Below are 14,666 nucleotides of genomic sequence, written 5' to 3'. Positions count from 1 at the left end.
CTTGAATTTCACTGGGCAGAATTTATTTCCTCTTCTTCTCCATAGCACTGTATATACACCTTTATTTTTTTAATTCAAATTTTTTTTTTTTTTCTAGATAGAGTCTTGCTCTGTCGCCCAGGCTGGAGTGCAGTGGCACGATCTCAGCTCACTGCAACCTCCACCTCCTGGGTTCAAGTGATTCTCCTGCCTCAGCCTCCTGAGTAGCTGGAATTACAGGCACATGCCACCACGCCTGGCTAATTTTTGTATTTTTAGTAGAGAAGGGGTTTCACCATGTTGGTCAGACTGGTCTCGAACGCCCGACCTCAGGTGATCTGCCAGCCTCAGCCTCCCAAAGTGTTGGGATTACAGGCATGAGCCACCGTGCCTGGCCTATTTTATTTTATTTTATTATATACACCTTATTAATGTAATTCCCTGACTAGACTTGACTGAAGATACAGACTGTCTTGCTCATCTTTGTGTTCCTGGGATGTAAAACATAGTAGACACTCAATAAATATTTGTTGAATGAATGAATGATGAGCCTTGTGTTACCCATAATTGTCTATGCAACACCAGTATCCTGAACTGATAATTCTTATTCAATAAATGTTTGTTGACTATCTATAACCTGATATCATTATATAGTCAGCCACAAGTGTGACTGTTACCATTCTTCATCCCCTCTGAGTGGCCCAAATAAATATGCAAATGAGAGAATTATATCTGAGAGCCTACATATGTGACCCAGATTCATGCCCAAGTCTGAAGAGATTCTGAACCCACATGTAACATGTAATGAAGGCATTGGATTGCCTCCTGTCTTACCTTGATCATGCATGTGCAGTCATGATCTACTGGAAAAGGGATGGAATTCAAAGCATTTAACCATAGGTTTGGCATGGGCATTGGCCAATTCCAGCAGAAGCAGGCAGCACAGGAGGCTCCTTATGGTACCAGCATTGCCTCTTTACTTCCATGGTTGTGTTGCTGGGTTGTTGGGGATCTTAGAGGAGAACTAGGCTATTGGTGGAGTCGTGGGGGACACTTAGAGGGCTCACAGCAGCTGCCTTTTATCAACTAGGACTGAACATTTTCATTATTTTAACAGCAAATACAATCCCATCAGAGCATGCTGGTTGAATGCCAGTCCTACTCCAGAGTGGCACCTATCTGCTTCCCCAGTCTTCAGATGTTTCTAATTTAACTTGAACATTGTAAGAAGAAAAAATGTAAGCTGCAGATGTCAGGATTGAAGCTAGACATATAGAGCTGAAAGCCATTACAAATTAGGAGGAAGAAAGGCTCTTTTCTCACAGTCTGTGGAGAAAGATGTTTGACCTGGGGCTTTGGTGGTGTAGCTTGCAGGCAAAAAGATGAATAAGTGGGCTGGGTGAGGTGGCTCATGCCTGTAATCCCAGCACTTTGGGAGGCCAAGAGGGGAGGATTGCTTGAGCCCAAGAATTCAATACCAGCCAAGGCAATATAGTGAGACACCACTTCTACCAAAAAAAAAAAAAAAAAAAAAAATTAGCTGGGCATGGTTGCACTGACCCATAGAACCAGCTACTTGGGAGGCTGAGGTGGGAGGATTGCTTAAGCCTGGGAGTTTGAGACTGTAGTGAAACATGTTCACACCACTGCACTCCAGCCTGGGAGACAGAGTGAGCCCCTCTCTGGAAAAAAAAAAAAAAAAAGATGAATAAGGGTACTTACTGGCCTAACAGAGTTGGGTGCCATGTGGCTGGGGTGCTTTGCCTGGGAGAAAGGAGGACAAAGGACACCTGGGGTCCCCTTTACGGGAGGTGAATAATCTCCCTGCTGGGTGGCCCCCCACCTAACTCCCTTCACACACTGACAAAAACCTGGCCAAGAAAGAATCCTTTGTCCTGGGACTTCTGAGGCTGAGGGGGGAGGGGAGAAGGCTACAGGTGAAAGGACACATCAAAGCAGTCAGTTGCCCCTCCTCCTCCAAATAGTTCCCCTGCCCTTGTTCCCAGAGCCCAGGTTTTCTGTAAATGAAGGCTATACCCTAAACGTCCAACTGCCTAGACAGCTGGGAAGCTAGACACCTGGTCCTTACCTTCAGCTGCCTTCCACCTTGATATGACTCAGTTTCCCTGTCCCTAGGAGAGCCGTGGGGACACAAGGCGACGACAACCTGTATAAAGTTTAAAGGTCACATTCGAGTGGACCATCAGGTTGGAATTCGTCAAATGCATGGGAGAAACGCAGACCTGGCTGGACTCCTGGGCTGAAAAGGAGGGCTGGGAGAGGCTTGGAGCCATGTGTGCCCCCGCTGGCCAGGAGCAAGGTGGGGGCGGGGTGTGGGCAGAAACCACATCGGGCTCAAGTTTCCTCTCTTGGCCGAAAGGGGCAGGAGGAGAGGAGAGCCACGGGGAAAGGGGAGGGTTGGAGGAAGGACTGAGAACTCAGGCCGAGGGCTTCAGACGCTGGTGCGCCTGCTTGGGGCTCCTGTGCTCAGCTCAGCCTGAGCTTCCACACTCAGCGCTCAGCAATGGCCCGGGGGCGGGGCGCGGTCCTCGCAGATTCTCAAAGGTAGCCGGGATCCTCGTCCAGCAGTGTCAGCTCAGGCTCAGCCTCCCCAGAGACAACACCGGGAGCCTCATCTCTCTCCTCACCCTGCTGTGACTCCACCACAGGTGCCTGAAAGGCAGGGTGTGTGTGGGGGGGGCGGATTCCAGTGAGATCCGAGGGGCAGGCTGGGGGGTGAAGGAGGTGAGGGGGGAAAATAACCAACTTTCGGTATCCTAGGAGACCTCAGACTTTCTAGATTGCCCCTGGTTTAGGAATCTGACATATTTGGGAACTCCTCTAGGAGAAGACCTAAGTGGTTTCTTGGGTGCTCTGGGATCCTTGGGGTGGAGGCTGTGAATGGGGATCAGAGAGGGGTCTCCAGAGGCAAGGCACCGCTGAGGGGCTGGGGAGTAGCCAGGAGGAATCCTTCAACTGGTGGGCTACCCTGAGGGAACCAATAGACTACCCTTTCCCCAACTCCATTCCATTACTCTGCCCTGTCTAGGCAGCTGAGAAGGTTTAGGGAAAGCTGAGGAATTGGAAACACTGGATATCTGAACCTCTGAGAAGTGTTGCAAGGTGCGGGGGTTGGATGGGAGATTGCCTCTGGGTTGTTGGCTCCTTTGCCCTTTCTCTTCTCTGTGCCCAGGGGCAGTAGAGATCAGCTGGACCTGGAGGGAGAAGGAAGACATCCCAACCCCAGCATAGTTGCTTCTAACTGGAACTCTTGGCTGCTTGGGAAATAGGGGCTTGGGAAGCAGTGGAAGAGAAGAGAGGAGGTATCAGAACTGCTGGGGCTGGGATCCCCTAGACATCGGTACCAAAGGACTGGAGTTTGGGGTCCAGGGATGAAGTGACACAATAGCAGAAACTCGTCCCCCTCTTCTTTGTTCTCACACATTTGTTTGAGTCATGCATGTCCCTAGGGCACTGAGCTCACTATGCTTAAATCTCTCTCCCTCCTTTTTTTCCCCTTCATTCTGTCTCATCTCTGTGTGTCTCTCTCTCTTCGGGAGTTCTCCCTAATCTTTCTAAATAGGTTGCTTACCGGTTAACCAATACCCCAAGTTTTACTAATCCCTCCTCATCCTTTCACTGCACCTATTGACACCTGGAGAGGTGAGGTGGTCAAATAAGCCTCAGAAAAGGGATCCTGAGGCAAGCCCCCTCTCATCGTTCCCCCTCGTTAAGGAAGTTAAGAGCCCTGGGGCAGCAGCTAAGGCCAAATGTATTCCTCTCTCCATCATCCCTCTCCGAATAGTCCTCACTCTGTATTCCTAATCATGAAGCTCCGTATCATTCTGTGAGTACTTAGGGATTATGATAAAAATCTTTCTGGGTAGGACCACCAGGCTAAGAGTAAGGAGGATGGACTTTAGTCCCTGGTGACAACCCCATTTCTACCTAATCCATAATGTTGGGGAGTAAGAGAAGGAACAGACAACCCAGTGGGAGTAAGATGGTGGTGTGACCCCAAAATGCAAAAGCTAAACTGTAAAGTGGGAGCTTCTTATTGTAAAAGAAAGGGAACACAGGGAAGCCCACTTCACTTTCCCAGTATCTCCCCAGTTTCTATACCCTCTATGGTGTTCTATTTGATCCAATTCTATCTATCTCCCTGATCTATCCCACTGCCTGCCAGCTCTGCTGTCCTCTGAAAGGTAGGCTCTGGAAACCCAGAGGGACCCTATGCCTGGTGTATAGAACACCATCCATCCTTGAGCGTCTAGGGAAAAGCATCCTGCTCCACCTGCCACCTGGTACAAACTTGCTACTGCACCCAAGAGCTGGTTGGAATGGATCCAGAGGTTCTCCTCAACTCTCTCTCCCCCAAACTCCTGCCTCCCCTTGCTCCCCTTCTTTTTTTTTTTTTTTGAGACAGAGTCTTACTCTGTTGCCCAGGCTGGAGTGTAGTGGCATGATCTCAGCTCACCGTAACCTCTACCGCCCAGGTTCAAGCAATTCTCATGCCTCAACCGCCTGAGTAGCTGGGATTACAGGTGTGCGCCACCAGACCTGGCTAATTTTTGTATTTTTAGTAGAGATGGGGTTTTGCCATGTTGGCCAGGCTGGTCTCAAATTCCTGACCTCAGGTGATCCACCCACCTCAGCCTCCCAAAGTGCTGGGATTACAGGTGTGAGCCACCACACCTGGCCACTGAGGCACTTTTAAAATGCTGATTCCTGGGTTTATGGATTCAATTCAGTAGATTTGAAGTGGCTTTTAGGAATCTGTGTCTTTACATGTAGCCCAGGTGAATGTGGCACACAATGAAGTTTGTGACTCCCTGAGCTAGATGCAACCTATGGCCTTTAATAGCAATTAGGTTCCTAGTCCTGTCTCCATTTAATGGAAGGGACTGAATGAGAAGCAATTTGCCCACGGTCATGTATCTTTTTTTTTTTTTTTTTTTTTTTGATGTGGAGTTTCACTCTTGTTGCCCAGGCTGGAGTGCAATGGCATGATCTTGGCTCACCACAACCTCCGCCTCCTGGGTTCAAGCGATTCTCCCACCTCATCCCCCCAAGTAGCTGGGATTACAGGCATGCGCCACCATGCCCGGCTAATTTTGTATTTATAGTAGAGACAAGGTTTCTCCATGTTGGTCAGGCTGGTCTTGAACTCCCGACCTCAGGTAATCCTCCCATCTTGGCCTCCCAAAGTGCTGGGATTACAGGCGTGAGCCACCGTGCGTAGCAAGGTCTTGTATCTTAAGTGCCAGAGAACCTAGGTCTCTGGCCTCCTAGGGCAGGATCTTTGTACTGCACCTTAGAGTCAGATCCAAGAAGATAAAAGGAGAGACAAATGGGGGGATTGGGGTGAGTAAAGAACTGTGAAGCAAGAGTCATTGTCTCTGCCTCCTAAACCCCTTCTCCATTCACTTTGCCTTTGGGCAATTTCCGCCAGAACCTGGGTGGAGGAGGGTGGGGTTCCGGTGTTGAAATGGCATCCTGGACAGACATAAACACCCCACCCACTCTGCCCACTGGCAGAGTTGCCTACACCAACTCCCATCTCTGGGGATGGCAGTAAAACAAGGGGATGGAGGCAAGGGCTAGGGGAGATACTCTTTCAAAAGGATCATTTGTAGTTCCTACTAATTTTGTGGTAAGTCGAAGAGAAGATTCCATATTAAATTGCTGTGATGGGCCATCCTTGTGGTGAGTGGTCTAAGGTCATGCAATTTGAGGTCATACAATCCTATCCTCTGTCCTTCTTTTTCTTTCTTTTCTTTTTTTTTTTTTTTTTTTTTTTTTCCGAAACAGAGTCTCACTCTGTCGCCCAGGCTGGAGTGCAGTGGTGCGATCTTAGCTCACTGCAACCTCCGCCTCCCGGGTTCAAGCAATTCTCCCTGCCTCAGCCTCCTGAGTAGCTGGGATTACAGGCGCCCACCACCAAGCCTGGCTATTACTTGTATTTTTAGTAGAGATGGGGGTTTCACCATGTTGGCCAGGCTGGTTTCGAACTCCTGACCTCAGGTGATCCACCTGCCTCAGCCTCCCAAAGTCCTAGGATTACAGGTGTGAGCCACTGCACCTGGCCGTTTTTTTTTTTTTTTTTTTTTTTTGAGACAGGGTCTTGCTCTGTCACCCAGGCTCTCGAGTGCGGTGGCACAATCATGGCTCACTGCAGCCGTGACCTTTCAGGTTCAAGTGATCCTCCCACCTCAGCCTCCTGAGTAGCTGGGACCACAGATGTGTGCCATTATGCCTAGCTAATTTCTGCATTTTTAGTGGAGATGGGTTTTCACCGTGTTTCTCAGGCTGATCTCAAACTCCTGGGCTCAAGCAATCCTTCCACCTTGGCCTCCCAAAGTGCTTCCCCTCTCCCATGTTTCCTTCATCCTAGCCTGCTTCCCTATACTGATATGGCACGGTATGTCTGTGTGCGTGCACATAGACACAATGTCTGACCGTAGAGATCAGGAAGACCTTGCCAAATCTACTTGGAATCTCTTGCTGACGGCAGGGAAAACAGATGCAAGGAAGGTGGGTGTCAGGGAATAGGGAGGTAGCATGAGGAGAGGGACTGACAGAAGAAGATAAAGACACGGGTGAGGGTTTGCTGAGAATTCTAAGCTATCCAAGCAGAAAGGGACCTCCAAGGTCAATTTGTCCAACTCCCTGGTTTTACAAATGAGGAAACAGAGGCCCAGAGAAGTGAGATGGCTTGCCCAACATCACACTGCTGCTTTGTGGCAGAGCTGCAACTAGAACCCAGGTCAAAAGAAAAGGGACTGGAGGGCAGTGTATATTCAAGGCTCTAAAGAGACATTGCCCAGAAGGAGAAAGAGAGACTGACACTCCACAGAAAGAACTGATGAATGTAGACTTCCAGTAGAGGTTTGGAGTATGAAGATACAGGGGCAGGAGGGGAAGGTGCCTAGAAGACATTATAGTCAGGTAGAGTCAGGTTCTGGACCTCATCCTGCTATTATTTATCAGCTTCAGTCTCAGTTTCTGATGTACCTTTAGAATCTTTGTGAAAACCAGTCTTTTTTTTTTTTTTTTTTTTGAGACATAGTCTAACTCTGTCAGCCAGGCTGGAGTGCAGTGGCGCGATCTCGGCTCTCTGCAGCCTCCACCTCCTGGGTTCAAGTGATTCTCCTGCCTCAGCTTCCCGAGTAGCTGGGACTACAGACATGTGCCACCCCACCACGCCCAGCTAATTTTTGTATTTTTAGTAGAGACGGGGTTTCCATGTTGGCCAGGCTGGTCTCGAACTCCTGACCTCAGGTGATCCACCTGCCTTGGCCTCCCAAAGTGCTGGGATTACAGGCCTGAGCCACCGCGCCCGATGAAAACCAATCTTATAAACTAAGCTTGCAATACCAGCACAGTTCTTAACAAGTGCTTACTAAGTCTTTACTAAGGTTATATTACCTCAGAAGAGGAAAGACTTCTGATTGTATGGGTTAAGGTATGGCCCAAATGACCCTGTGAGGACACAGGACAGAGGTCCAGTGTCTCCAGAGCCCATTCCTTCTGTGCCTCTGCTGCCTGCAACTGATAAACCTCTTATCTGGCCCAGGCAGGGGAGCCCAGGGCCAGGATAGGAGGAGAGGGCAGAGCTGCTATCAACCACCAGGCCTGGGCCATATCTTGGAGAGGAGGAGGGGCTGTCTGCTTGCCTCTTTCCACAACTTGTTCTTGGGGATCCTCAAGCATATACTGTCATCATCTTGGAAAGAAAAGGCTGAGAACGTAAAACTGAGGACAGAGGAGGAAAGCAGGGTGACCCCTGATGTTGCCCTAGAAAATGGAAAACAAAACACAGCAAAACAGAAAAACAGAAGATCTGACTCTGCCTTTAGCCAGGAAAACAGTTTGGGGGAGTAAAAAGTATTAGGGAAAAGAGTGGGCATTTTGCCTGGAAAAAAGGTAAAGACCTCCTGTGCTACCAAAGGAACTGACTGTGGCCATAGTTGGCGAGGTGGAGATCACAACACAGGAAAAGACTTTCCATCTTAAGGGATTGATGAATCCAGCATGAGTGAGGATGGGGAGGAGGCGGTCTCTCCTTCCCTCAGGGGAAGCTGGAGGGAGCCCCTCCAAGGAGGTAGTGCAAACTTGCTGACCCTAGCAGGTGTAGCTCTAACACCTCTTTTCCTTTGACACAGGTTTCTAGAGCCATCTGGGCTTTCCGGGAACCTGGACCAGACTCTGGCCCAGTAGGATGTCCCCGTGTCCTCCCCAGCAGAGCAGGAACAGGGTGATACAGCTGTCCACTTCAGAGCTAGGAGAGATGGAACTGACTTGGCAGGAGATCATGTCCATCACCGAGCTGCAGGTGAGTAAGGGGGGATAGGGCAGGGGAGGCCGTGTGTCGGAGAAGAGAGAAGCAGGGAGTTGGCCAGGACTGAGGCAGAGGGCAGGAGCAAGCAGGGCTCAGGGCTGGTAATGCTCCAGGCACTGGGAAAGGAAGGGAAAGATCCGGATGGAAGACACTGAGGAACGTTGAGGAGGAGGAGTGGAGGAGCAGTGGTGGGGAGGGAATGATCTGATTGGGAGTGTAGGCTCTCTCAGCAGCCACTTGACTCACATCTCTCTCTACCCCACCTCCTGCTCTCCCTCCCGTGCTCACCTTCTTCTCTTCTGACCTGCCTCTCTGATCCTGCCATCTTCTTCCCTCATTACCTCCGCCTGCCCTTGGCAACTGGGCCCGTTTACCCCAGGTAACAGAGCAGTAGTTCAGGGGCCTCAGGAAGGGGAGTCGGACTATGCCAGGGTCCTCTCCTCCTGCTACTTGGACAAAGGGGTGTCTGTTGGCTTGACAATGATGCCTTTGTCCCCAGCTGGGCTGGAGCAGGGTGGCTCCCTGATGTAGGTTGGGGGCCTTGTTTCTAGCATGTTCTCTACTTCTCGCTGCACCTGGGCAGGGACAGAGGGACTGAAGAGGAGAAGGCAGAGCTTGTGCTGGCTCCCCAAGGTGCTTCTTAGCCCCCAGCCACCCCCCTTTTACTACCCTGCTACCATGCTTAGCACCCTCAGGATCTGCCCTAGGCCCTCTTCCCACACAGCGGCTCCCTCTGCTGGGCATCTGGGGCATGGCCAGGATCTGAACTTGACCCTTTGACCCTAGATAACTGCAGCAGGAAAGGGTTCTGAGGGGTCATCTTGGATAAAAAGGCTTTGACTTCCTGAAGGAAATAAAGGAACATGAGCCATTTCTTTTTTTTTTTTTTTTGAGACGGTGTCTCGCTCTGGCGCCCAGGCTGGAGTGCAGTGGTGCAATCTTGGTTCACATCATTCTCCTGCCTCAGCCTCCCAAGTAGCTGGGACTACAGGCGCCTGCCACCACCCCAGCTAATTTTTTGTATTTTTAGTAGACAGGGGGTTTCACCGTGTTAGCCAGGACGTTCTTGATCTGATCCTGTGATCCGCCCGCCTTGGCCTCCCAAAGTGCTGGGATTACAGGCCTGAGCCACCATGCCTGGCCGAACATGAGCCATTTCAACCCAGTAAGAGCTTCTCCAAGGAGAGTTCATAATTGTTCCAATGTTAGGTAGTCTTTTCTGCAGTCCAACCTCAGTGACTTCCATTCTTGCTAAAGCTGCATTTTTCATTTTTTCTTTTTTTGAGAGGGAGTCTTGCTCTGTCGCCCAGGCTGGATAGTGGCACTATCTTGGCTCACTTCAACCTCCACCTCCGGGGTTCAAGCAGTTCTCCTGCCTCAGCCTCCCAAGTAGCTGGGATTACAGGCATTCACCACCATGCCCAGCTAATTTTTGTATTTTTAGCAGAGATGGGGTTTCACCATGTTGTCCAGGCTGGTCTCGAACTCCTGACCTCAGGTGATCTGCCGCCTTGGCCTCCCATAGTGTTGGGATTATAGGTGTGAGCCACCATTCCTGGCTTTAAGCTGCATTTTTCTTGCAACAACTGTATCATAACTTTGCAGGAAGCTTCCCGTGATTTGTGGCAACTTTGTTTCCTTGTTACTACCTCACTGCGACTTTCAGAAGAATCCAGCTTGTTCCTGAGAGAGTGTTGGTTTCTCTTCCTTAGTCTGTCTCCAAATCTCTTTGTGTCTTTCCTTGCAGGGTCTGAATGCTCCAAGTGAGCCATCATTTGAGCCCCAAGCCCCAGCTCCATACCTTGGACCTCCACCACCCACAACTTACTGCCCCTGCTCAATCCACCCAGATTCTGGCTTCCCACTTCCTCCACCACCTTATGAGCTCCCAGCATCCACATCCCATGTCCCAGATCCCCCATACTCCTATGGCAACATGGCCATACCAGTCTCCAAGCCACTGAGCCTCTCAGGCCTGCTCAGTGAGCCGCTCCAAGACCCCTTAGCCCTCCTGGACATTGGGCTGCCAGCAGGGCCACCTAAGCCCCAAGAAGACCCAGAATCCGACTCAGGATTATCCCTCAACTATAGCGATGCTGAATCTCTTGAGCTGGAGGGGACAGAGGCTGGTCGGCGGCGCAGCGAATATGTAGAGATGTACCCAGTGGAGTACCCCTACTCACTCATGCCCAACTCCTTGGCCCACTCCAACTATACCTTGCCAGCTGCTGAGACCCCCTTGGCCTTAGAGCCCTCCTCAGGCCCTGTGCGGGCTAAGCCCACTGCACGGGGGGAGGCAGGGAGTCGGGATGAACGTCGGGCCTTGGCCATGAAGATTCCTTTTCCTACGGACAAGATTGTCAACTTGCCGGTAGATGACTTTAATGAGCTATTGGCAAGGTACCCGCTGACAGAGAGCCAGCTAGCGCTAGTCCGGGACATCCGACGACGGGGCAAAAACAAGGTGGCAGCCCAGAACTGCCGCAAGAGGAAGCTGGAAACCATTGTGCAGCTGGAGCGGGAGCTGGAGCGGCTGACCAATGAACGGGAGCGGCTTCTCAGGGCCCGCGGGGAGGCAGACCGGACCCTGGAGGTCATGCGCCAACAGCTGACAGAGCTGTACCGTGACATTTTCCAGCACCTTCGGGATGAATCAGGCAACAGCTACTCTCCTGAAGAGTACGCGCTGCAACAGGCTGCCGATGGGACCATCTTCCTTGTGCCCCGGGGGACCAAGATGGAGGCCACAGACTGAGCTGGCCCAGAGGGGTGGAACTGCTGATGGGATTTCCTTCATTCCCTTCTGATAAAGGTACTCCCCAACCCTGAGTCCCAGAAGGAGCTGAGTTCTCTAGACCAGAAGAGGATGACAATGGCAACAAGTGTTTGGAAGTTCCAAGGTGTGTTCAAAGAGGCTTGCCTTGAGGGAGGGCTGGAATCTGTCTTCCCTGACTCGGCTCCTCAGGTCTTTAGCCTCCACCTTGTCTAAGCTTTGGTCTATAAAGTGCGCTACAGAAATGGCTTTTCACTGTGTCTTCCTTCTTGAGGGAGGGTGGAAGCTGAGATAATTATCTGTTTGAATCTTACCAAGTTCACTTCATTCTCCCCAGAGCTCTGTATGAGAGGTACCATAAAATTTGGGCTTGAGGCTGAGCATGGTGGCTCACACCTGTAATCCCAGCACTTCGGGAGGCCGAGATGGGCAGATCACAAGGTCAGGAGTTCGAGACCAACCTGGCCAAAATGGTGAAACCCCATTTCTACTAAAAGTACAAAAATTAGCTGGGTGTGGTGGTGCACGCCTGTAATCCCAGTTCCTCAGGAGGCTGAGGCAGGAGAATCACTGGAATCCGGGAGGTAGAGGTTGCAGTGAGCTGAGATTGCGCCACTGCACTCTAGCCTGGGTGACAGAGCGAGACTCCATCTACAAAAAAAAAAAAAAAAATCTGGGCTTGAGCAGTATGGGGATCTACCACCTTCACCTCCTTTTCAGAGTCAGAGGCCATGGATGATCTGAAGAACCCCACACTCCCTGGTGGTGCCCTATTTGTAGAGCTTGGAGAGCTGTCCAAACTGACTAGACACCCTGTGCAAAGGTTCCTGATGTTTACGTCTCTTTTCTCTCAATTCTCCCAGCACAAAAAAGCCCAGGATGCCCATAGGCCTTTCTTTTTTTCTTCCCCTCCTGCTTACCTCTCAGCCTGGGTCCTCCTAATGTGCCAGAGTTCTCTCAGAAGACTGAATGGGCTGTTCTTGGCTGGAATTTATACATCAAAATTTCAGAAGATTTCACACCGAAGCTTTGGTAAAACCTGCTCCACAGTGGAGTAAACTATTTATTCCTGTGAAACGTTTTCTCTGATTATGTTAGACAAACACTACCCAGATCTTTTTTTTTTCTTTTTTCTTTTTTTTGAAAGAGAGTTTTGCTCTTGTTGCCCAGGCTGGAGTGCAATGACACGATCTTGGCTCACCGCGACCTCCACCTCCTGGGTTCAAGTGATTCTCCTGCCTCAGCCTTCGGAGAAGCTGGGATTACAGACATGCACCACCATGCCCATCTAATTTTGTATTTTTAGTAGAGACAGGGGTTTCTCCATGTTGGTCAGGCTGGTCTTGAACTCCTGACCTCAGGTGATCCATCCGCCTCAGCCTCCTAAAGTGCCGGGATTACAGGAGTGAGCCACCGTGCCCGGCCAACACTACCCAATTCTTGTTTTGGGGCCCTCCTTTTCTAGATCCTTAAAGATTTTTTTGTTTGTTTTCTTTGAGACGGAGTTTCGCTCTTGTTGCCCATGCTGGAGTACAATGGCGTGATCTCAGCTCATCACAACCTCTTTCTCCCGGGTTCAAGTGATTCTCCTGCCTCAGTCTCCCAAGTAGCTGGGATTACAGGCATCCACCACTATGCCCAGCTAATTTTGCATTTTTAGTAGAGATGGGGTTTCTCCATGTTGGCCAAGCTGGTTTTGAACTCCCGACCTCAGGTGATCTGCCTGCCTCAGCCTCCCAAAGTGCTGGGATTACAGGCTTGAGCCACCACGCCTGGCTTTTTTTTTTTTTTTGAGACAGAGTCTCGCTCTGTCGCCTAGGCTAGAGTGCAGTGGCGCGATCTCAGCTCATTGCAACCTCAACCTCCACCTTCTCTGCCTCAGCCTCCTGAGTAACTGGGATTACAGGCGCCCGCCACCATGCCTGGCTATTGTTTTGTATTTTTAGTAGAGATGGGTTTCACCATGTTGGCCAGGCTAGTTTCGAACTCCTGACCTCAAATGATCTGCCTGCCTCGGCCTCCCAAAGTGTTGGGATTACAGGCGTGAGCCACTGTGCGCAGCCTAGATATTTTTTATTAGTCTATTTTGCTTCTTCTTGAAACAGAATATAATTCACTAAGTTTCAGATTCCTTACCCATATCAGTTAAAGTCCAGTCAAACCTCCCTGACAGGACACAATCTCCTTGCTTGGAGTTGTATAGTCTCCAGTATTCCCAGTCACTGAATTACACAGCTTACCTTTTCAGAAGATTTTACATTTACTTTTTATTCAATTTTACTAGCTCCATTCCAACATTAAAACCTTACATCCAAGTTCTGATCTGGACACCGCAGGCTGAGGTGGGAGGACTGCTTGAGCCCAGGAGCTTGAGACGAGCCTGGACAATATAGGGAGACCCTGTTTCTACAAAAAAAAAATTAGTGGGTGGGTACAGTGGCATATGCCTGTGGTCCCAGCTATGTTGGAAGCTGAGGTGAGAGAATTGCTTGAGCCTGGGAGTTCGAGGCTACAGTGAGCCAAGATCATGCTACTGTACTCCAGCCTGGGCGACAGAGCGAGACTGTCTCAAACAAAAATGGACACCACAGATACTGAGACCTAAAAGCAGCACAGTGATTAGGGAGATATGGAGTGTGGTCTCTAGCCTAAGTTTAGGGAACAAAAACAACTTGAAGCACTTCCTTTTTTTTTTGAGATGGAGTCTCTGTCGCCCAGGCTTGAGTGCAGTGGGCTGATCTCAGCCCACCTTAGCCTCCTGAGTAGCTAGGACTAAAGGCGCATGCCACCATGCCTGGCTAATATTTGTTAGTAGGGATGGGTTTCACCATGTTGGTCAGGCTGGTCTCCAACTCCTGGGCTCAAGCAATCTGCACACCTCGGCCTTCCAAAGTGCTAGGATTACAGGCATGAGGCATCCAATGTTTCCACATTGTTTTTTTTTGTTTTGTTTTGTTTTTTTTTGAGACAGCGTCTCTCGCTCTGTCGCCCAGGCTGGAGTGCAGCAGTAGGGTCTTGGCTCACTGCAACCTCCGCTTCCCAGGTTCAAGCAATTCTCCTGCCTCAGCCTCCCAAGTAGCTGGGATTACAGGCACCTGCCACCATGCCCAGCTAATTTTGGCATTTTTAGTAGAGACGGGCTTTTCACCATGTTGGCCAGGCTGGTTTCAAACTCCTGACCTCAAGTGACCCTCCCGCCTAGGCCTCCCAGAGTGCTGGGATTACAGGTGTTGAGCTACTGTACCTGGCAATGTTTCCACATTTCTTTCTTTTTTTTTTTTGAGACGGAGTCTTGCTCTGTCGCCCAGGCTAGAGTGTAGTGGCACGATCTCGGCTCACTGCAACCTTTGCCTCCTGGGTTCAAGTAATTCTCCTGACTCAGCCTCCAGAGTAGCTGCGATTATAGGCGTGCGCCACCATGTCCCGCTAATGTTTGTATTTTTTTTGGGCAGGGGGGACAGAGTCTCGCTCTGTCACCCAGGCTGGAGAGCAGTAGCGCGATCTCGGCTGACTGCAACCTCCGACTCCCCGGTTCAAGCAATTCTTCTGCCCCACCCTCCTGAGTAGCTGGGA

The 14,666-nt window shown here is 50.3% G+C and overlaps 1 protein-coding gene across 6 annotated transcripts, besides 4 other annotated features; it reads left to right on the top strand.

Annotated features, from left to right (window-relative positions):
* Positions 1,547–2,287: an enhancer, noted in NCBI's record as "NANOG-H3K27ac-H3K4me1 hESC enhancer chr12:54694946-54695686 (GRCh37/hg19 assembly coordinates)". NCBI's record gives its function as "activates a minimal SCP1, AML or CMV promoter by ChIP-STARR-seq in naive H9 embryonic stem cells {active_cell/tissue: H9 hESC(naive)}" and the evidence as "EXISTENCE:reporter gene assay evidence [ECO:0000049][PMID:30033119]".
* Positions 1,547–2,662: a biological region, named in NCBI's record as "CRISPRi-FlowFISH-validated COPZ1 and HNRNPA1 regulatory element". NCBI's record gives its function as "regulatory_interactions: COPZ1 | HNRNPA1".
* Positions 1,688–2,662: a transcriptional cis regulatory region, noted in NCBI's record as "promoter|chr12:54694571-54695545 region (GRCh37/hg19 assembly coordinates) targeted for CRISPR interference". NCBI's record gives its function as "negatively regulates COPZ1 and HNRNPA1 gene expression in K562 cells {active_cell/tissue: K562}" and the evidence as "EXISTENCE:mutant phenotype evidence [ECO:0000015][PMID:31784727]".
* On the top strand, positions 2,434–11,338 carry NFE2 (nuclear factor, erythroid 2). 6 transcript variants are annotated; one of them, NM_001261461.2, is made up of 4 exons: positions 2,434–2,648; positions 3,173–3,302; positions 8,145–8,314; positions 10,068–11,338. In NM_001261461.2, the coding sequence occupies exons 3-4, from the start codon at positions 8,201–8,203 to the stop codon at positions 11,073–11,075; spliced, it is 1,122 nt and encodes a 373-aa protein (NP_001248390.1). In that variant the 5' UTR covers positions 2,434–2,648; positions 3,173–3,302; positions 8,145–8,200; the 3' UTR covers positions 11,076–11,338. The 6 variants fall into 6 exon arrangements, with proteins under 6 accessions (NP_001248390.1, NP_001129495.1, NP_001387301.1 ...); NM_001136023.3 differs by lacking the exon at positions 3,173–3,302; NM_001400365.1 differs by lacking the exons at positions 2,434–2,648; positions 3,173–3,302 and adding an exon at positions 5,501–5,685.
* Positions 7,268–7,808: a transcriptional cis regulatory region, noted in NCBI's record as "promoter|chr12:54689425-54689965 region (GRCh37/hg19 assembly coordinates) targeted for CRISPR interference". NCBI's record gives its function as "positively regulates HNRNPA1 gene expression in K562 cells {active_cell/tissue: K562}" and the evidence as "EXISTENCE:mutant phenotype evidence [ECO:0000015][PMID:31784727]".
* Positions 11,339–14,666: the final 3,328 nt, after the last annotated feature.

Source organism: Homo sapiens, chromosome 12 (genome assembly GCF_000001405.40).
Source record: "Homo sapiens chromosome 12, GRCh38.p14 Primary Assembly".
NCBI lineage: Eukaryota > Metazoa > Chordata > Mammalia > Primates > Hominidae > Homo > Homo sapiens.
This window is presented reverse-complemented; position numbering and strand designations above follow the sequence as displayed.